Source organism: Homo sapiens, chromosome 6 (genome assembly GCF_000001405.40).
Source record: "Homo sapiens chromosome 6, GRCh38.p14 Primary Assembly".
NCBI lineage: Eukaryota > Metazoa > Chordata > Mammalia > Primates > Hominidae > Homo > Homo sapiens.
The window spans coordinates 42,224,694-42,247,064 of NC_000006.12; the positions used below are offsets into that span (position 1 = coordinate 42,224,694).

General features: G+C 44.0%; 1 protein-coding gene and 1 long non-coding RNA gene across 53 annotated transcripts in view, besides 2 other annotated features; one reads left to right on the forward strand and one right to left on the reverse strand.

The window, feature by feature from the left end:
- The first annotated feature begins 45 nt into the window (after positions 1 to 45).
- LOC105375061 (uncharacterized) lies at positions 46 to 11,811 on the forward strand. Its single transcript, XR_001744122.2, has 4 exons — positions 46 to 166; positions 9,667 to 9,807; positions 10,101 to 10,375; positions 11,723 to 11,811. It is a non-coding gene; the product is annotated as an uncharacterized LOC105375061 (long non-coding RNA).
- Positions 238 to 22,371, reverse strand: part of TRERF1 (transcriptional regulating factor 1) — a 227,294-nt gene continuing 205,160 nt past the window's right edge. For 28 of the 52 annotated variants that reach the window (XM_047419067.1, XM_047419048.1, XM_047419033.1 and 25 more), the window contains 5 exons: positions 21,763 to 21,851; positions 18,555 to 18,668; positions 11,512 to 11,718; positions 7,988 to 8,199; positions 238 to 3,976 (listed from right to left, as the gene is read on the reverse strand). In XM_047419067.1, the coding sequence (XP_047275023.1) occupies positions 3,652 to 3,976; positions 7,988 to 8,199; positions 11,512 to 11,718; positions 18,555 to 18,668; positions 21,763 to 21,851 (947 nt within the window). In that variant the 3' untranslated portion in view covers positions 238 to 3,651. Of the gene's footprint in view, positions 3,977 to 7,987; positions 8,236 to 11,511; positions 11,719 to 18,554; positions 18,669 to 21,762; positions 21,852 to 22,371 lie in introns of all 52 variants that reach the window. The other 24 variants (XM_047419061.1, XM_047419044.1, XM_047419028.1 and 21 more) reach the window with 1 other exon arrangement.
- Positions 11,805 to 11,964: an enhancer, noted in NCBI's record as "active region_24545". NCBI's record gives its function as "activates an Ori minimal core promoter by ATAC-STARR-seq in GM12878 lymphoblastoid cells {active_cell/tissue: GM12878}" and the evidence as "EXISTENCE:reporter gene assay evidence [ECO:0000049][PMID:35858748]".
- Positions 17,177 to 17,759: an enhancer, noted in NCBI's record as "OCT4-NANOG-H3K27ac hESC enhancer chr6:42209608-42210190 (GRCh37/hg19 assembly coordinates)". NCBI's record gives its function as "activates a minimal SCP1, AML or CMV promoter by ChIP-STARR-seq in naive H9 embryonic stem cells {active_cell/tissue: H9 hESC(naive)}" and the evidence as "EXISTENCE:reporter gene assay evidence [ECO:0000049][PMID:30033119]".

Here is a 22,371-nt window from a genome sequence, read left to right on the forward strand (position 1 = left end):
TTATGACACAGTTTGAGTCATAAGGTTTACGAACCCAAGTGGTTCATCCACTGCTTGAATAGCAGAAATGTATGTCCTGGTCTTCGGAGTCGGGGGACACTTTAATAATGATCATTAAATTTGATCAGCCGACTTAAACTTGTTGTCTACGGAAACCAATTAACAGGTAAACTAGCATTTATCCAGCATTGAGAAGTCATAGCAATGGCTAGAAAGAAGAAATATTTAAGCCAAACGAAACGCAAAAGATTAATATTTTATTTTCAGAGCAGCTGATGCAATATTGAATCAGGTTTTCACAAATAAATATGACAGTGTCTGTTTGGTTACATCTCCATTTGATGAATGCCCATCTATAGGAACTGTAATAACTTTCTGAGAGGCTAATGATTAGAATGTGTTAAATAAAATTTCCCTGGTTCCCTTTTTGAAGAAGCATTGTGATAATTAAGAAAAAAAAAAAGCTTATCACTTGGAGGGGAAACAACCTAGAATGCCCCAGTTTCCTTTTTTTTTCTTTTTTTTTTTTTTAAGGAATGCACCTTTTTAGGACAAGTCTATAAAACATCTTTATTTATTTGTTACATATGATGTTTAAATATAACTTTGCTTTCAAGCTTCAAACTTTTTTTAAACCCCTGGTAAAATAAGACTTTTGGTTCACCTTAACAAAAACTGACCTAGGAAGAAACATTTTTAGCAAAATGTTATTATAAAATTCACTAGAAAATACGGTCCTCTTGTTGCCAAAATGTTACATAAAATCCTTATTAAAAATACACACGTTACAAAAGAAAAATTATGAATATGCTATACATAGTGCTTTAATATGGACCAAGGGACTTGCATTCCGGGAAAATACAGTTAAGCACACTAGATATTATGATGTCAACTTATAATAGTGCAAACCTGAATAAATTACATCCTGATATGGAAGGCATGCAATTCATCTGCTGAGAATAGAACATAACGAAGCCAGAACAGGAAGCAATCACAACCACTATTTAAAAATGTTTTCCTTTTTATTACATTAATTTTTTTCAAAAATACTTTTCTTTACAATAGAACTCCTAGAAAATATTTACAACCTTCCTCTAATAAAATATAACAGCAGTTAAATATATTTGAAAATAAGATGGGTTTTTCCATAAAATATATCTGTTAACTTTTTATATACAAGCTTTCTCAAAGAGGTCTAAATTCACTAATGAAAAACCATCTGATAGTAAACAGTAACCGAGTTGAGACATTAACCATTAGGAAGAAAAGATCTTTGGGGTGGGGTAAGGGGAGAAGCTAAAACACAACACATACATGCAGGCAGAATTATTTCAGAAAAAAAAATAAGTGCAACATTGTACTAGGAAGTCCATTCTTTAAGTTGATAGTCAAGAAATACTAATTCAGGAATTTGAACTGTCTCGTTAAGGAGGAGTTCTTTGGTTGTTTCAAGTCAAAAATCCTTATGCTATACTGCATGGAAAATTATAAGTAAGCTGTGCATTCTATTTTTGCCATGGCAACTGAGTTTATTTTTTAATGTTTAAAACTGGAACAGCTGGGCAAATCTCTAAACAGAGGCAATACATTTGCTTTATAAACACTTTTCTGGATGTTTGCTCCTTTGATAGATAAGCTTCCATAGACCCAATAGCAGCACCCTTCTAGGCTTACCCTCAGACACTAAGTGGAGGGCAGTAGTCCCTGGGAGAGACGATCAGCCAAGGATATGACAGCTGTAATGGTTCGGCCACAAAGTTGATGCACACTGCCCAGGCAGTTCCTGACTCACAACTGCTTGGATAAAACAGGATAGCATAACCTTTCTGAAATGGCAGCAAATGAAACTTTTTTCCCCCTCTAAACAAAAGATGTAGGAAAACGCCAAGACCTCTTTGAAAATAGAATGATGGAAAAGAATTTTATTTTTTTTTCTGTCCATGGCTTTCCTGAAGTTCAGAGACCACTGTCTGTGTGGGGCTGCTGTGGCTCACAGCCAGTTCCCCCCCATGAGTGTGTGCTAAATGCTTTTGCAGAGTCAAAGACGTCAGGTCCTACTCTCATGCTTCTGCTGATATTCTCTCTCATGTCAAGCTATGAATGTTGTCAGCAAAGTGGCCCAGCGTGATAGGCACACCTACGTGGAGCTGGGAACCAGCATACCTGGGGTGGGCGATGCCTGAAAACACCGGCCCAGGAAATCACGCTGCATTAACTCCAAAAGGGGAGTTGCATGAAGCAGGATCCTCTCTGTACTGGCGCTGTGTCCCAGCCTGACTTTTGCCCTAACGGTGGGATGGGTCAGTCTGACTCAGCTCAGAAGCCTGGGGCTAAATGGCATTTTTGAAGGATTACAGGTTTATTACCTTCAAGTACAAACAGCAACCCTGCTGACAGGGACAGGAGGAAGCAGAGCAAAGTCATGGAGGTTGGAGAAGTCTAGAAGTGCTTTGGTAAGTGACTTGTGATGAATACATTCATTGTTTGAATGCAAACATTATAGCTAAGGTGTATCTGAAGCCATTTTTGTTGGCCTTCAATGCTATTTGTCTTGTATTTGCTATCGTATGTGTTAGAAAACTATTTCTTATAGCTAACATCAAGGTAAACTTCAGTCCAGCGGATGTGAATTACAGCAAAATCCCAGTGAATGCGGTTTCACAGTACTTCCAAGTGGCACAAAGTAATTTCAGAACTCCACTAATCATTAACAGCGTTGCAAAAAAGAATAGGCTTTTCTGATTTGTTTTTTGGGCAATAGAACACTTTCTGGCATTCTAGGTACTTCAATATGTGTCCTTCAATCACCCTGAAGTGAAAGCAGTCCTGGCAACTTAATATTTGCCTCCAGATGGGTCTCTAGTCAGTTCATGCTGAAACACAGCTCTGCCACCCACAACTTGGAGCTGACCAGCCCCCAGGGAACATGGAAGAGGACAGGACACACCTGTTCTAGAAAACCAGGTCCTCAGTAAACACTGCTGGGAATGAAAGCCTAAAATTATACAGTACTCCATTCCTGTGAACGGGCCAAAGGATGACGGGCAACACAGGGGAAACCTGTTTTCACATTTGGTCATCTCCTCACATGTCGTGTGAGCTGGAGGAGAGCCGTGTAACACGAGGGCTTGCTTTGCCCCTGGAAAGCTGCCCCTAGCATAGTATCTCCAGGCAAAGATGCCATGCTCACTGCAAACTATGGAATGAGGTCAGAACAGAATCAAAGTAACGCTTGATGGGAAAAGTTGGCCCCAAGACCCCAGTACTAAGAGGGTCGCCTGCGTCTCACACACACACACTCACAGCAAGCTTTGGGATAAAAGGCAACCGGGATGGTTGACATCTGAATGCAATGGAACATGAAGGTCAGCTTCAGTCCCTACTGGGAATGATTTCATGAGAAGGTAGCCCAGATGAAACACCTCTTAAAGATAGTTGTGCCAATTATTTATTCCCCCAACCCCCCACAAAAACAAATTTTTTTAAATAAAAGGAAAAGAAATAGGATTTTTTTTTCTAAACCTGAATAAAATGACCACTTTTAAAACAGGTAGTTTAAAAGGGTTACAAAACAAGCAGGCAGTCCAGGTTTCCTGATTAATGAAGATGGAGGCCGTGGGTTTTCACTGTCTCTAAGTGACACACAGGGCTTTATAGTTCTGCGTCACCCTGAAGCAAGACTGAATCTTGATCATCCAAGAGAAGATCGGTGTCCACAACTTCAGCCTCTTCCATGACACCTCCCAACTGCTGGACGACGTCGTCGTCGAGGATGTCCACATCCTTGATGGGTTTGATCAGACTCAGCTGGTCCAGGGGCAGCAGCCCCGGCGCCCCCACGGGCCCCGTAGTCCTCTCAATCGTGGCTGCCATCTCAGCTGCAAAAGCCGCCTTCTGAGCCTTTTGCCTCTGTTGTTCCTCCTGCTGCCTGTGAGTTTTCATGTGTGCATTTCGGCTTTTGATCTTGAAGAAGACTCTAAAAATAAAGAAAGAGAGGTGTGTAGAATTTAGAAGGAGATCTGAGTTCTTGGAAATCCAGGTGTCCTACGGGGAATGGGGGTGTGTGGTCTGACAAAGTCCCTGGCTGCTCGGCTTCTAGGACCTCCTTCCCCTGTGACCTGTCACCTCTCTTCCTTCCTCTCCAAGCATTACAAGGAAAGGGATGGGGACAGAACACACCTACTGTGCCTCAGGCTTCCTTCCTGTGACAATGGAGGAGGAATTCTCAAAGGCCTCCTGTCCACCTGGAGTCTGGAGCACAGGCTCTTTCTCCTCTTTCAGCCTCCCCCTTCTCCTCATCACTGACCATGCCCTCTCCACTGGAGAATCTTCTAAATCATGCTAACAAGCCCTGATGGTCCCCATCATGAAACAACCCACCATCTGCCTCTGGCCTCTGTCCCTGTTCCTCCACAGTTGAAAGTTGTTGGTTTTGTTGTTGTTGTTGTTGTTGTTTTAAATAGAGACAGGGTGTCTCTCTATTGCCCAGGCTGGAGTGCACTGGTGTGATCACAGCTCACCATAACCTTGAACTCCTGGGCTCAAGTGATCCTCCCACCTGAGCCTCTCGATTAGCTAGGACTACAGGTACATACCACCATGCCTGGCTAATTTTTAAATATTTTGTAGAGATGGAGTCTTGCTATGTTGCCCATGCTGGCCTCGAACTCCTGGCCTCAAGTGATCCTCCCACCTTGGCCTCCCAAAGTGTTGTGATTACACGTGTGAACCACTGCGCCCAACCCACGGTCAAAATTCTTGAAGGATCTGCCCACACGCACTTGGTGGATCTCTTTTTTCTCTGCTTCTTCCTCTCCAAGTGGACTGTTGTCCTCTCCCTGTCAACCCAATTGCTCTTCTCGAGGTCACTGGTAACTCTGTGTGGCCAAATTCAGTGGCCCCTGTCTTTATTGTACTTGACTTCTGAGCTACATCTACTACTCCCTTTCACTTAAGGCCCCTGCTTTGTGGCCATGATATTATCATAATGGCTACACATCCTCCAACACAGAGGACACTCCCTCTTCGCCAAGCAAGGAATTGGCAGACTTGAAATGCCAACAGTGCTGAGGTTGAGAAACCCGGGGATAAAATGATATATTGCTGGGGTTAATTCTTTAGATGAGAGGTCTGCAAACTATGGTCAGTGGGCCAAATCCTGACTGTTTTTGGGAATAAAGTTTTATTGGCACATAGCCATGTCTGTTTATGCAATGTTGATGGCCGTTTCTGTGCTGCAATGGCACAGCTGAGCAGTTATGATAAAGACAGTAAACGGCCCACAAAACCTCAAATATTAACTATCTGGACCTTTTTCAGAAGAAGCGTGCCCAGGTGTGAGACTGTTTATGGAGAGGGGGTGGCATAATACTCTTTAGTCACTTCTGAGCTCATGAAGGAAAAAACAAAACAAAACAAAAACACACACACAAAACACCTGGTTTCTAAGGCCTGAGTCCAACGGGGCTGATAAATCACAATTCTGCTTGGACACACTGAAAATGGTTAAATGTAACAAACATAATTTCAGCACCTCTAAGAGGTATTTTGTGAACATTTGCCTAATGTTATTTTGAGTTAGGAAAAGCCACAGAAACCATTTGTATTTTCCATGAAATCATAACTGGATTTCTGGTAGAAAAAGTTTCCAAGCAACGTAAGACTCCAAAAAAAAAAACATTTAATAGATGCTACTGAGACATGGCTGGGAAACATGAAATACTGATTTTTTTTAAGTTAAATCATCCTCTGTCTCCACCTGGTGGAATGTAGCGTTGTAGCCTGTTTGAGCCTAATGAGTGGGTGGTGCTAGCTCCTCTGGGGGAAAACTGGCAAGACCCTGATACCCTGATGCTGCCACTCCAGGACAAATAAGCGGGAGATCACTGAGAGTCAGCTGAGGGTGGTTCCATCATTATTTCAATTAAAAAAGCCTTAAGATCAATCCAGGGGCCCATTTCTTCCATGGTGCACCAGTGTGTGGTGGGTGGTGATGTTAAAATGACATCATGGCCAGCTTGGAAGGACAGCAGGGTGTGGAGGAGACCCACACCGAATCCCATCTCTCCCATCCCTGTGCTTCATGGGGGGAAGTGATCTGCTAGTTCCAGTTCACTTTGGTGGGTGCCATCAAGCTGGGCTTAATCAGACGCAGCATGGCATAGAGCCAGGAGCACAAGGCCAGGCCAGCCTGCATGGTGTGAATCCCCACTAGGCTGCTCGCTGTGAACTGCAACAGGGGCTTCACTTTTCTGTGCCTCAGTTTCTGCCTGTAAAAAAGAAGCTCCTAAAAGTACCTGCCTCATAGGGCTATTTTAAAGATTAATCAGTACATGTGCTATGGGTTGAATGTGTCCCCCAAACAGCACATGTTGAAAACTGAATCCCTAATGCAGCTATGTTGGAAGGTGTGGCCTAATGGGAGGTGTTTCAGTGACGAGGGCCTCACCCTCATGAATGGATTCATGCCGATTATAATAGGGTATGAGGCTGCAAGTTCAACCTCTTGCTCTCTCTCCCCTCTCTTTGCCCTTCCACAATGGGATGACTTAGCAAGAAGGCCCTTGCCAGATGCAGGCCCCTTGACCTTGAACTTCCCAGCCTCCAGAACTATAAGAAATAAATTTATTTTCTTTATAAATTATCCAGTCAGTGATATTCTGTTGTAGCAACACAAAACAGACTAAAACATGTAAAGAATCCTTTAAAACAGTGCCAGGCACATAGTTAGTACCTGATAAACAGCAGTTACTATTAAGTTGCCTGCTCTACTCTATGAGGATGTATAAGTAGAGGTCCCACCTAGCCTTGCTGATGTAACTAGGGATGTTTTCGTGGTAGAGTTTCAGAAACCACTTGGGCAGCATCTCTCCCAGGTAATACTCCTTTTCATGCTCGAGGCACTAGGAATTATGGGAAGAGGAACTCAGCAAGGCTCCTAAAGGATGTAATTCATAACAATGTAGTACCCTTCCAGTCAGGTGGACTCATTGAGAAGTACACTGGAATTCTCTACTGGAGGCTGTGGGAGGGAATCACCCATCTTACCATCAATGGCATTTTCTACCTAAAGCAAAAAACAAAGTAAACCAAAAGGAAAGAGCAGTGGTCAGAAGCCCAGGTCTGCATTCGGACAAAACTGGGTTCAAATCTCAGTTCTGCTCTTTACTGGCACTGTGATTTAGGTCAAGTCATTTTACCTAATTTTTAAACCCTTATTTGTAAAACAAAGATAAAAAAACAGTATCTGTATCACATGGAGTTTCTATGTAAGGATTAAGTGAGCTCACACACATAAAGCATGTAACAAAGTAAATGCTCAGTAAATGTTAGCTATTATAATTACTATCTCGTTACTTTTTTTCTTTAGCTGTTGTTGTTTTTTAAATTATACCTAAAAGGGGAGGATAACAAATAGGTTTTATTTCATGTGTCAACTCTGATTAATTGGTTGTGCAGCTTGAAGCATGACAACAAAAAGTAATTGAGGCTTTGTCTTAAAGTGATAGCAAAGTGTGGTGATTGATTAGTGATGTCTGCCTTAGTCACAGAAGTAAGCGAAGGTGGTAGGATTACCCTGTATGAGCCATCTGTGTTACAGAGAGTTCCTGATTAGATGTTGTAGAGCCATTCTCAAATCATTCAGCGGGGATCCAAACAGAGTAATGCTAGTGAACATAGCTTGGGTGTGAAGGGAAGGAGTGGGAACCAGAGTCCCACCTGCCATTCCTGGGAAAGAGTGAAGTTTTGTAACTTACAGGTTCACTCTCTGAAGATATCCATCCTTACAAGGCTCTAAGATAACAGAATGGCCATATTCTGAGTCTGCAACAGGACTACATACCCATCCCAAAGATGACACGAAGAAGAGTTTTGAGGTCTAAGTTCTTTTTTCTGATTGAAGAAACCTCAGGCCATCCTGGCCCAGCTCCCATAGAGCGACTACCCATCATGAACTCAGATTCAGTCCCCGGTCCCCTGCACCTACTTGCCACACTCCTTGCAGGGGAAGATGGTGGTGGGGTCTGTCTCGCCGCTGGTGGTGCTGTGAGAGGGTGAGCTCTTTACCGAACAGTACCCACTCTGGGTGCCACCAGGCTTCTGCTTCCCAGAGGGGATGGCACCTCGGGCCTTGGTCACCTGGTTGGTGCCCCCGTGGATGCGGGCATGGCCATTCAGTGCCTGTCGGGAGCTGAACACCTGGGGAAGAAAGGGAGTGACATGACATCTACAGTCCTGAAAAGGAAATTAGGGTTATTAGTTACTCAGTGGTAAACATGGAATACTTGAAACTGTCTAATGACAGGGCACAAGGGTTTTATATAAGCAAACTTTGGGCATATGCTACAAAAGGTAAAGATCAAATACCACAACCACAGATCCTGTGCCAATCAAAACCTCATCACTGCTACAATCAGAAGAGAAGAAGCGACGTGGCACAGGATAAAGAATAAAGCTACTGTCTAGAAGTCAAGACGTCAGGGGTTTGGACCCAGCTCTACTATAACTAAAGCTGTTGGGCCATTTCCCTTCTGTATACTTTATTTTTTTCCATCTGAGGAATGAGAGGGCTGGACCAGCTTTCAAACTTTTTTTTTTTTTTTTTTTTTTGAGACAGAGTCTCGCTCTGTCACCCAGGCTGGAGTGTGGTGGTGCGGTCTCAGCTCACTGCAAGCTCCGCCTCCCAGGTTCACACCATTCTCCTGCCTCAGCCTCCCGAGTAGCTGGGACTACAGGCGCCCGCCACCACGCCTGGCTAATTTTTTGTAGTTTTAGTAGAGACAGGGTTTCACCGTGTTAGCCAGGATGGTCTCGATCTCCTGACCTTGTGATCTGCCCGCCTTGGCCTCCCAAAGTGCTGGGATTACAGGCGTGAGCCACCACGCCTGGCCTCAAACTTTTTTAAAGATGATAACTACCTCCTTCTTTTCCTCCCATTTTTCTTCCTTCCTTCCTCTTTCCCTCCCTCCTTCCTTTTTAGGAAATCAGGTCTTACTAAAAAAACTCAGGCTCAAGTTAAAAGCAGAGGTGCTCTGGCTAGAATGGAGACAGTGCCCCAGAATTGCGCCTGTTTGCTCAGCTCTATCTACCCCGAGGAAGCCCTAGCACCCTAAGGAATCCAGTTTGAAAGACAGTGATTAGGTTTTCTGACGTATTCTACGTTGTAGATAGCCTTAATCAGTAGCCCATTGTTGAAGCAATGTTTAAGACCCCCAAATTTTAATACAGATGATAAAAAGAAGAAGGATCTTGGCAGAATTTTAAAATCCTGCCATAAAGCTGGGTTTTCTTAACATCAGCACTACTATCATTTTGGGCTGGATAATTCTTTGTTGTGATGGGTGGGGGGCTCTGTTGTATAGGATGTTTAGCAGCATCTCTGGCCCTACCAGATGCTAGCAGCACCTCCGCATTTATGATAAAAGTTATGATAAATTCCAGACACTGCCAAATGTTCTTGGGGAATAAATCATCCCCAGTTCAGAACCACCGCTATAAAGGGGTGTAAATCCATATCCCTGAATCCAATGAGTCCTGGCTTCCAGCTTGTTAAACTCATCAGCTAAGGGGAGTACCTACTGGGCTGTCTAGCTGTAGTAGTTGCTGTATTAAGTTTATGATCTCTGTTTTTTTTGTTTGTTTGTTTGCTTGTTTTTTTTTTTTCAGATGGAGTCTCACTCTGTCACCAGGCTGGAGTGCAGTGGCATGATCTCAGTTTACCGCAACCTCTGCCTCCTGGGTTTAAGCGATTCTCCTGCCTTAGCCTCCCAAGTAGCTGGGACTACAGGCGCGCACCACCACGCCCAGGTAAGTTTTGTATTTTTAGTATAGTAGAGACGGGGTTTCACCATGTTGGCCAGGATGGTCTTGATCTCTTGACCTTGTGATCCACCTGCCTCAGCCTCCCAAAGTGCTGGGATTACAGGCGTGAGCCACCGCGCCTGGCCAAGCTCTGGTTATTTTCTTACATAGGAAAAAACCTATCGCTGACTTAGCAACCAAAGCCTCCATCGTTAGGCAAGGAATAAAATAAAACCAGCACGCTTTTTCCACTGTGATTTTTAAAAGTCATTAAAAAATATCTTTTCCCTTATGTACAGAAAAATTGGAACAGAAAAATATCTAACTTGCTGAGCATTTGATGGGAAAAAGTAAAAGATAACTTCCATTTGGTACACAACTTATTGTACATAGAGCTATGATTTGAGGAGGCATCTAATTTCTGAACAAATTCACCAAGAAATACCATCACTTAAAGTCATTATCGCAATCATGCTGCAGTGAACACTCTATACAAAATGGCCAGGTCATTAAACATCAAAGATGGAAAACAAGCCAGCAATCTCTTCTGTTCTCTTCAAAGTGAATGCAAAATGTATGTATCTTTTTTGTTTTTTTTTTAATTTTCATTTTTTCTTAAATGCAAATCAAATGAATTTCTGCTTTAGGATCTAAATATTTTAAAGACTGTTGCTTTCTCCATCTAAGTGACAGGTAAGCAGCATTCAGTACACTCTGGAGAACAGCACTGTCCTATATCATGTATGAGCAAAGACAAGCACACTGACTTAAGGAAAATGGGCTTCCTCTGCAAGGGGCAACATTATTTTGAGGGGTAATCCCTCTAGAACTTGCCTATACAGGTGTGCCTGGCCTTAAGAAACCTGATTTGGGAAAAGCTCACCAATTCAGACTAGTGGCAGACCAGCGGGAGATTGAGAAATAACCTTTAAAAATATCCTTTAAAATACATATGGAGCCTTAGACAAGGCCAGCACAGATACCGTAAGGTCTTTCTTTAGTGCTAAGAATGACCACATGGTGAACTTGTTTTATTTTAGCTAAATTATGCTTCTAATATTCTTGAAAAGTAGTAGCCTCTGTATTTACACACACTCCCTTTCAGCCTGTTTATATGATTAATTTACTTTTAGTAAATCTTTTTTTTCTCCACCATAGAGTACAAAGATAAACTTTAGTTAAATCTTTGTAACAGTGTTCTCAATTTTAAATTAGTGACATTTCGATTAGTAACACTTTATGAAATGTGAAATGCAAAACCTTCTAAATAGGTAAAATTGCAGGAGGTAGGGCAAGTAATTATGTCATAAAAGGATGATCTTTGTCAGCAGGCTCTCCTAGTACATTTAAATGCATGTTGACAGGGCACAAGCTTGTGTGACACACAGCCCAGGGGAATGCAGAGGCTCCAGGAAATGTGGAATGTATGTTTTGGAGGCCACGCTCACTGCAGAGCTTGGAATCACACACTCCTGGGCATGGGGGCCTTCTCTGTGTTCTCCAACACGCAGCATCATGCTTGACACAGAACACACACTCTGTAAATACCTGTTGGCCAAATGAAGCAGAAAACAATGGCAACATGGAGCACCCTCTGCCAAACTGTGACTGTTGGAAGAGCACTCTCGAAAATACATCATCTCTTAAAGCCAGGCACAGCTATATGGCTCTCACTTGTCCCAGATCCCCAGACGACACAGACACACTTACAGCCCCACAGTTGGGCATTTCACAGATGAAGGAGCCTGAGGGCTGGCCCAGGGCCTGCAGGGGCGGCCCCTCCGTGGGAGCCAGGACGGGGACGGGTGGTGGCTCCGGGGACTTCGGCACCTCACTCTCTTCTTCTTTTGTGGATTTCCTATCTTCTTCCGGGTCCTCCTCCTCCTCCTCCTCTAACTCTTCTTCTTCTTCACTTGTCTAGTGTTAAGGTAATAAAAGCAAGAGGGGAAAATCCCCAAATGGCATTCTTAGTGATGAACAGAACTCACAGATCAACAGAGGAGAGAGGGGCAGGATGCTGGCGCTGTGTTCCTTTCTTTCTGCATAAGGAATGGTGGACAGAGCCTGTTAGGCGTGATCCTCAAAAGGTTGGTCTCCGGATGCTTAGGACTTCGAGGTCAAGGAAGTAAGTCCCCTGCCCCACTTCGGGACCCCTCATCACTTATATAAAGATATGGTGAGGCAGAGAGGAGCAATTTCTACATGCAAGGATTCCCCACCTTGTTCGAGACTATCAGATCTTAAAATGACTAAAACTCAGGCTGCGTCCTGCCTGTAAGTAGCTCTGTCTCCTCACAGAGGTGAAGAGGGGTTTCCAGCAATAACAATACCATGGAATCCCCCTTGGAGAGAGACTAAAGAAGGACCTGTGCTGATTTGTTTTAGAGGCTTTATAACACACCATGCAAGATACTGGATTTGACCTGCGGTGTGCAGAAAGCACGTGACTCAAGGGGAGCTCCACTCTGGTCTTGTCAGAAAATAGAGTGAAAGGAGAGAAAATGGAAGGGGAGATTCCCTTTTATTTGTCATGTGCTTTTCCTTTTGTCTCTGACCATGGGCTTAGAAAAAGCAGTGTATTCAATGTTTCTATTTATTCATTTTCTCCTACCAGAGGCATTTAATGAAAAAGAACAAGAAAAACTTTTCCTATGAATAATGATCTCCTCTGCTTCTATGGCCACTCTCCCCACTTCAGAACAGCAGCCATGTGGAGAATTAAGCAGAAGGTCCCTGCCCTCCTCAAGGTTAACAGAATAGTAAGTTACTGGAATAGCTTGGAGTGGGTGCCCTGGGTGTGCTGGGATGGAAGGGCAACGATCCAGGAGGCTCTCATTCTCCCCTTGCTTAACTACTTTATTCTGCTCTCTCCAACCTTCCCAGGGTAGGGGTGAGGGCTGCTGGCTCCTGCAGGCCCCAAAAGGGCTGAGGACCAATCAGCCTCATTTCAGCTTTTATTTTACAGTTTACAAAGTGCTTTCACATTTACTATGCCACCGAATAGGCTGTAAACAGACCTGTCGTTTTATAAACGAGGAAGGAAAAGGCATGTCCAGCTGCCCCTGACCTGGCAGGTCATTTGTCTCTGCTAGGCTCTCTGCATAACTCATCACTTAATGCACGTGGGTTCCAGTCTACTCTACCCCTGACAGTGATATAAGTCTGGGGAGCCTATGATTCTTAAAGCCCAGAAGCAAGACTTTCCAAGAAGGATAAAGATTTCTGAAAGTAGTGATACCCTAGGACCCAGAAAACATAAGCTTCCTCTCTACAGTTTGGATTTGGGGTGTGTGTGTGAGAGAGGGAGACAATGCCAGTATGTATGTGGCATTTAGTAGCCCCTCACTGTTTCAGTATTGTCCTTATTTAATATCACATACATGTATACTTGCGATGCAGTATGAACAGGGTGTATTTAAGAAATGGCTTCAGTTTCCATTGGTAAACAGGATTAATTAGTAATGATCACATTTGTTAGAAGACCTCAGTGAACACTGATGTAGGCCTAGTACATTTGACAAAGTGGTTTATGATCTAAGCAGCCAGCCTCTTACTAGTATAGAACATACAGGTTGATTTCACTTAGGTGGTCTTATTTCTGTAAGACTCCACCATCTTTCCACCCCAAAGAGTTTCAGGTAAAACCATGTTATGTCAAACTGGGACTTTGTGGTCTCAAACATTAAGTAGCCCATGGCCTACAGTTTGGCATTTAAAAATAATTACACACAACAGATGACAATGCCATTTGTTTCATGGTATTTGTTATAATGACAATTTTCTCACAATGCCATTGTTTGGCTTAAACATTCTTAGAAGAAATGTTCCATATAGCCACAAAATTATAAGTCACACTGTACCATGATTATGTATGTCTCAGGAATTTAGATAGGTGTTATTTCAACTGGCAATCTATAAATCACAAAATGATTTACCATCAAACCACATGGCTCACCAAAGTGACTAAGAGATACAAAAATACAAGAACAAAAATCTTAACATGTAGAACTTCGTAACAACAAGTTGGTCATTTTATGATATATTGTGAAACAAAACACTTACTATATTCCAAAATTAGAAGGTGGGCAAATATGGGGGTGGGGAGGAGGCCATACATTTAACATGGTGCTCAGACCCTCGAGTGTCCACAATAAGAGTTTCTTGAGGAGGATATTTTTATTTCCCAAGCATGCAAATGGAATTCATATTATGAGAAATTGGTAAGTCAGAATACAAATGCTCAACAACCCAAATCTGCTCAAAGACACAAATTTGTGTGTTAGTCACTAATAATAATGATGACGATGACAACATTGAATGCCTGCTGAGAATCATGCATTTCACACACACACACACACACACACACACACACACACAATTTCTAGTTCTCATAACACTGTAAAATTTTTTCATTTTTAAACAAATGAGGAAATTGACCCAATAAATAAGTTTCTCAAGGTCACACAGCTGGTAAAAAAGTTGAACTGAGATTCAAAACCTGGCCTATCTTATTCCAAAACCTCAACCTTCTTCACTCTTTGGTCTGGCTGCACATGTCCACAGGTGCATGTTTATCCATCTGTAAATGGCTTAGAGATCCTAAATCTCTCAATATTACTGGAACCAGCTGCTTTGAAATGCCAAAGGGAAGGAGGATGTTTCCCAAGGCCCCCATCAATGGACTGTGCTGTAGGTAACTGTGCTGACATCATGGTGAGTTCTACCTTTGCCCTTGGAGCCCTGATTGCTGTTTTCCACAGTCAGTTAACTGCCTCAGTTGGTTTCTTGAATTGTGCTAAATTTTGATCACAGCCAGCCCCATATATTTGTCCTGAGTCGGGGAGCATGAGCACAGGCAGGGGACAGGAAGGTGTGGCCAGCACCTTCTCCTCTCACCTCATTAACAGAACCCATCTTGGCTCCCTGCCTCTGCTTCCAGTCACACTGCCCCTGCTGAGTGAGCAGCTGTGCTCTGTTGACCTCCCGGCTACTTAGCTAAAGGGCAATCATTCCTTTCAAACCTCCTTCTTTTCCCCTCTCAAGTCCTCAATAATCCCTGAACCACCTGAGCATGTTCCTTCATGTTCCATCTGGAGGGAAATGGTCACCCGCCCTTACGTAAAACATTGAAGATACATGATCAGGAGAGCTATCCCAGGTGTCCCAGGCAGGCCCCGAGGACAAAGAGTAGGACCACATCTTAGGACTGTGCCTTGCACACCCTCCCCAGGCGCACCCTCCCCAGGATCCCCATGATCCCAATTTTTCATCTCCACTCGGCAAACTATGCTTAGAAGGCTGACTGTGCACACAGTGCCCACAAAGGAGCTGTGAGCTGCCATATTGGCCTTTAATCAAGATTTTCTTGTTTTTTTTTTGTGGGCCTGAGTCATCTCTGCACATAAGCCTTTTGCTCTCCCTAAGCTCACAAGTAATGAGGGTGTGGACACTCCTGGCCCAGCCTAACACTGGCTCCTGGTGAATAAACCCAAGAGGGTGTGGCCCCTTGGGCACCCTCTTACCCTCTCCTCCTTAATCTGAAGCTTCACGCCGGCCTGGGTCTCCCTACCCATCTTCGAAGCCCAGGCAGTCCGAGACGGTGCCTCTGCCTTGTGTGGAAACATCTTTGTTAGTGTCACTCCTCTGCTCAGCATCCCCTTGTTCATTCCATCTCCCTCCAGTGAATTCACAGAAGGAATGTTTATGAATCAGAGCAACTCCTATCTTCGAAAAATATTCACTCATTCATTTAACAAACATTTATTGAGTGACTGTATTATGCCAGGCACTGTGCACTGTCCTAGGCACTTGATAACACCCAAGCCTAAGATACACCAATTTACCTTAGAAGACCATATTCTCTGATTTTGCCCCTCTTCCAAAACACGGCACTGACAGAGCCCAGAACATTCCAGAATTGGAAGGGACTTTCTAAATCATTTAAATCATCTGGCCATTTTACAGACCAGCAAGCCTAGGAGCAAAGCCTAGGTCTTCAAGGCTAGGAATCTTTGTGCTTCCTTGTTTACTGTCTCTTCTACTCATTTGGAAAGCAATGCTCTGTGTGACCTGGGGCAAGCCCCTTCCTCTCTCTGGGTCTCAACTTTCTTCCTGTAAAATGGTGAAATTGGGTGAAAGAGTCCTTAACGCTGCATCTAAGACTTTCTGGATCTCATTGCATACTGCTTTTAAACACTCTTGGGGTTCATGGTGTATTTCCACTTACATGTGTTATATCTTCCCAACAAGGACATATGTTCTGTGTGGTCGGGGGAGAGGAGGGAAGGGCCATTTAACATCCCGGGTTACCCACAGCACTACATACACATTGCTGTTTACATTGTGGGAGTTCAACTGCTTTTAGTTGACTGAACTGGAGGAGAGCATACTGTTTTTTGTTTTTTGTTTTTTTTTCTGAGATGTAGTCTCACTCTGTTGCCCAGGCTGGAGTACGGTGGCGCAATCTCTGCTCACTGCAACCTCCACCTCCCGGGTTCAGGCAATTCTCCTGCCTCAGCCTCCTGAATAGTGGGGACTACAGGCGTGCACTACCACGTCCAGTTAATTTTTTAGTAGAGATGGGGTTTCACCATGTTGGCCAGGGTGGTCTCGATCTCCTGACCTCGTGATCCACCTACCTTGGCCTCCCAAAGTGCTGGGATTACAGGTGTGAGCCACAGTGCCTGGGTGATCACATGTTTTTTAAAACATTAGGCCACAAACGAGCAAAAGACTATTCTGATATCATACATCACTACTTAAATGAGTCAAACAAAAGCCCTGGTCACAAGAAATCCTGAATGTAGAATACTGCCATCTCTGATTGAAAAAAATAGCAATACCATTCTATTCTACAGATTTCTACTTTCTCTGTTATTTGGGCTCAAATATAAATGTATTTATGTATGTATATTTCATAGCTAGGATCAATTATTAGTTAGAAGCATAGGCTTTGAAGCATTAATGAGTCCAATTTTTTTTTTTCAGATGGAGTTTTGCTCTCGTTGCCCAAGCTGGAGTGCAATGGTGCAATCTCGGCTCACCGCAACTTCTGCCTCCTGGGTTCAAGCGATCCTCCTGCCTCAGCCTCCCGAGTAGCTGGGATTACAGGTGTGTGCTACCACGCCTGGCTAATTTTTTGTATTTTTATTAGAAATGGGTTTCACCATGTTAGCCAGGCTGGTCTCGAACTCCTGACCTTAGATGATCTGCCCACCTTGGCCTCCCAAACTGCTGGGATTACAGGTTTGAGCCACCGTGCCTGGCCAAGTCCAAATTTTTTATACTTCTTTAAGAAAATGTGTGGCCAGGTGCAGTGGCCTGAGATTACAGGGGTGAGCCTGTAATCCCAGCACTTTGGGAAGCCAAGGCAGGAGGACTGCTTAAGCTCAGGAGTCTGAGAACAGCCTGGGCAACAAAGTGAGACGTTGTCTCTACAAAAAATTAAAATATGAGTGGGGCGTTGTGGTGTGTGCCTGTAGTCCCAGCTACTCAGGTGGCTGAGGTGGGAGGATTGCTTGAGCCCAAGAAGTTGAGGCTGTAGTGAGCTATGATCATGCCGCTGCATTCTAGCCTGAGCGACAAAGTGAGACCCTGTCTCAAACAAACAAAAGAAAATTTGCATCTGACTGCTCTTAACTACACAAGGGAATCAGGCTTAACAACACGCTCAGCAGCTGTGTGACTATGGCCAATTTGCTTAAGCTCTGTGCTTCAGTTTCCTACTGCATAGAATTGGTATTAAATGAATTACATTGGATTAAATGAGTCAATATTTATAAAGTCCCTAACACAATGCCTGGCACATGAAAACTGCTGTTTCACTGTCTGTTAAAGAAAATAACACACATACATGTGCTAACCCTTACAACTGGGGCACAATTGGGAATGAAAATATAATTTCAAATATTTACATAATTCATGAATTCCCAATACTTTCACTGATGGTGACAAAAGCTAGAGTTTAGTAATGTCAGACATAATTTTTATATACACATATATGGTAGGTAATGTTTTCCACAGAGTGTGAAAAGGAGATTTCCCATGGCTATGGATGCAGGGTGGAGAGTTAATTGCAAGGATCACAAGTGATAGTAATCATCAAAGCCACACATACAGGGTTCAGAGACTAGTTAGGTCTTCTTGTGTCTTTGGTACGTACTTAATGTGCAGTTGACTGTGGACTGTCTGCTAATGAAGGAAATCAATACCAGGGATAATGGTGATGTAAGGATTAGAATCATCTACATGCAGCGAATTAGTTCCTTAATGATGGAGGGTTCCTGGCACTACCTAGAGGTCAAAGCTCCTCTTGCTCATGCTTTACAGACTGTGGCAAAATCCCAGGGACCCTTTCTGAGGCACATTATGGGCTCAGGTCAGTAGCATCTATGACATGGAAAGATCAAAAAAGAATATTCCAGGGGGTCAGGACACCACCCAATCATAAACCAACAAACCCAAGGCTGGGACCATCCTTGGTTTAATTCTTCTGGCTCCTAGCTGCCTTGAAGCGGGCACCAGCCCTCACCTCTGTTTCTGAACACTGAGCTACAGGCCAAACCTATGGACTTCTTTCCTTTAAACCTACTCAGGAGGGTAGGTCCTGAATCCTGCAGGAGAGCTGGGCTGTTGTCACCTCCTTCCTCTGGCTATCTTGGCAGCAAAGCCAAACCAAACACCAGCTACTTACTAACCTGGGCCTGGGGTGGGAGCTGTCCCAGCACAAGCAACAACTTAGCAGCTTCACTCACCACACAATCGTCGATGATTTCTGCCAGGCGTGTCCGGTGTTTCCGCCCCAGCCGCATGATCTTTTTCCACGTGTAGTAGTACTCCACGCACTGAGCCACCGTCTTGGACTTCACCTGCCGGGAAAGCGAACTCAAGGTTAGCTCCAGCAATGGGCAGAGAGCAAAGGTAGCAAGCATTTTTGAATATTTAATTTTGTAATAGGGTAATAAACAAGTTTGTACAGTTCAAGAAAAAAATGTACCTGGTGAAAGGCCTCCTTCACACGCCTGTCCTTACCCCTCACCCTGCAACACAGGTAGCCCCTTGCATTAATTTCTTTGGCTACCATTCCAGATTTTTTTTTTTTTTTTGAGACGGAGTCTTGCTCTGTCGCCCAGGCTGGAGTGCAGTGGCGCAATCTCGGATCACTGCAACCTCTGCCTCCCAGGTTCACACCATTCTCCTGCCTCAGCCTCCCGAGTAGCTGGGACTACAGGCATCCGCCACCATGCCCGGCTAATTTTTTGTATTTTTAGTAGAGACGGGGTTTCATTGTGTTAGCCAGGATGGTCTTGATCTCCTGACCTCGTGATCCGCCCACCTCGGCCTCCCAAAGCACTGGGATTACGGGCGTGAGTCACTGCGCCCAGCCTTTTTTTTTTTTTTTTTGAGATGGAGTCTTGCTCTGTTGCCGAGGCTGGAGTGCAGTGGCACCATCTTGGCTCACTGCAACCTCCACCTCCGAGATTCAAGCAATTCTCCTGCCTTAGCCTCCCAAGTAGCTGGGATTACAGGCACCCGCCACCGCACCTGGCTCATTTTTTTCTATTTTTAGTAGAGATGGGGTTTCACCATGTTGGCCAGGCTAGTCTCGAACTCCTGACCTCAAGTGATCCTCCTGCCTGGGCCTCCCAAATTGCTGGCATTACAGGCATTGAGTCACAACACCCATTCCAGAATTTTTTTCTTTTTTTGAGATGGAGTTTCACTCTCGTTGCCCAGGCTGGAGTGCAATGGCACGATCTCGGCTCACCACAACCTCCACCTCCTGGGTTCAAGCGATTCTCCTGCCTCAGCCTCCTGAGTAGCTGGGATTACAGGCATGCACCACCACGCCCAGTTAATTTTGTATTTTTAGTAGAGACGTGGTTTCTACATGTTGGTCAGGCTGGTCTCGAACTCCCGACCTCAGGTGATCCGCCTGCCTTGGCCTCCCAAAGTGCTGGGATTACAGGTGTGAGCCACTGTGCCTGGCCTCCAGAATTTTCTAATGCATGTACCAGCACACACAAAAATATATTCCCTCCCCCACCATCTTTCCTCACAAAAGGGAGCACACTATAAATACTGCTTTGCAACTTGATTTTTTTCTCAATATAGCTTGGAAATTTTTTCAGATCAGTCCTTACAGACTTACTCATTTTTTTAACCCATAAAGCAGCTGCTTTTTCATTTAATATGCTTGAATGTCTCTAACTTGACCTTCAAAATATGCTTATGAGAAATGTTCCTTAGTAATGGAATAGGAATATAAGGCAAAAGTTATGATGACAGAGCTTAGGTTTTGCAGGAAATGGGCCTTGCCCTATTCAACCCCAAACAGGCAAAGGTCTATGCATCTTAAGACAGAAACATTCCTTTGTTTAGTTCATATGCTGTATGATCAGGTGAGGTGTAATAACGTGGGTTTGCTGGAGGCAGATTAAAGGCTGGCCTTACCCTTGAGGGTGGGAACAAGGCCACCTACATGGTGAGATGAGAGGGGCACCCAGTCCTGTCTCCTCAAAGTTGCCCCCTTCTCATCCCCCTGACACCTGGAATTTCCACACTAGAATCACCTGAGGGAGTGAGGACAGTGCCCGTCCCAGAGAGCCCTGGGTTAAAACCCAGGTTGCCTGGTAAGCTCAATACACGAATCCATCATCAGTCGCAAGTGTGGGGCCTAAAGGATTGAGGTCTATGCCAGGCCAGTCCTGGAGGGGAGGGTGACTCTAGAAAGATGAAGCATGAGAGCTGCTGGGCACACAGGGCAGCAAAGGCATGGCAGCCGCCAAGGGCAAGGCAGGAGCAAATGCAGAGATGGAGGCGGAGGCGAGGCGGAGGCAAGTCAGAGACAAAGTCCTCCTGCTTTTCACACTTGCCCAGGCAAGGCCCTAGACTGACAACAGGAGACATGCCACCCTAGGACACCTCCGAGGACCATCTGTCTCAGCCAGGGGCCAGTGGGTGCTATCAACTGCGCCCTGTTCTTTGTGTACCTGAACAGCCTTAAATGGCTTTAACACAATATGGCTCCATCATTCATCAGTTTGTTGAAACACTCTTTGAATGATTTTAATTTTTTACACTAAACCATCTCTCAGCCAATAAAGTCAATAAGTTTATCTGTTGTATAAAGTGCTATTTCATCTATGTGAAAGTTTTATTTTGCTTTCGAATGCTGTATACGCAAGGTATTTTTATTATTACTGTCATTAAAAATAGGAGTTCAACACCAGAAACTGTGCTACTGGGTAGAGGGAGGCCACATATTCTCCTCTCCCCAGAAAGTTCTGTCAGAAATGTGGTAGATCTGTTAAATATACGTAAATTATGTACGGCCAGGCATGCCGGCTCACGCCGGTAATCCCAGTGCTTTGGGAGGCTGAGGGAGGTGGATCACTTGAGGTTACGAGTTCAAGACCAGCCTGGCCAACATGGTAAAGCCCCGCCTCTACTAAAAATACAAAAATTAGCCGGGCGTGGTGGTGCATGCCTGTAATCCCAGTTACTCTAGAGACTGAGGCAAGAGAATCGCTTGAACCCGGGAGGTGGAGGCTGCAGTGAGTCAAGATCACACCACTGCACTCCAGCCTGGGTGAGAGAGTGAAACTGTCTTGGAAAAAATAAAAAATAAAAATAAAATAAATTATGTAAATTGTGGACCAGGAACCCGAGTTCTAGTTATTCTGACAGAATTATGAATTACACATTTTTATTAAGATAGAAAATAACCCCGTGCCACTGCAGTGTCCAGATAATCTACGCCTTCTTTCCCCTGTCCTCTCCCTGCCACAGTCCTAACACTGGGGCCATACCACCCCTATCTCCACTACCATCCTCACCAGCGAGTGTGGAAGACATCCTTTTTGTAAGTATCTTAAACCAGTATCCAAATATTTCTAAATATTTTTGTGTACAATTTCCCAAATTTAATTTCAAGGGGGCAATGGGAAAAATCATGCTTACCATCTTCTGTACAAAAATAAAGTCTTTGCTGTAAGTGGCTAGTGCTTTGTTAAACAGTTTTCTTTCTAGGGAGGTCCACTTGTCCGAACCTACAACAAAACACAAACATCATAAGAACAGCTCACAGTTCCCCCTGCTTTTAGTTGCTGGTTCATTTAGTTAAGTTACAAAATACAACTACAGAGCAAGTGATATAATACATATCAAACTCCCATTTGAACAAAAAGATAGTGTGATATAATGGTTAGGAGCTCTGACACCTGGGTTCAAGTCCCAGCTATGGCCTTGACCTTGGCAAGTTACTTATCCTAAGCCTGTTTTGTTACCTACAAATGGGAATAACTATAATTGCCTCCACTGATTAGGATTTTTGTGAAGGTTAAAGAAGATAATGCACAAAAAGTGTCCAGCATCATCGCTGGGAAACAGTGAGCATTCAACAAATTTTAGGTACAGTTTTAACGTAATTATCATATTCACAAGTGCAAGCATTCATGTAGCAAGTACCCTTCAGGGTGTGGCTGGATTCACCCTCCACCCTCAAGATGCTCACAGTCTACTGGGGAGACAAACAAGTAGGCCATGACGTTCAAGGTGGTAATTGTAATT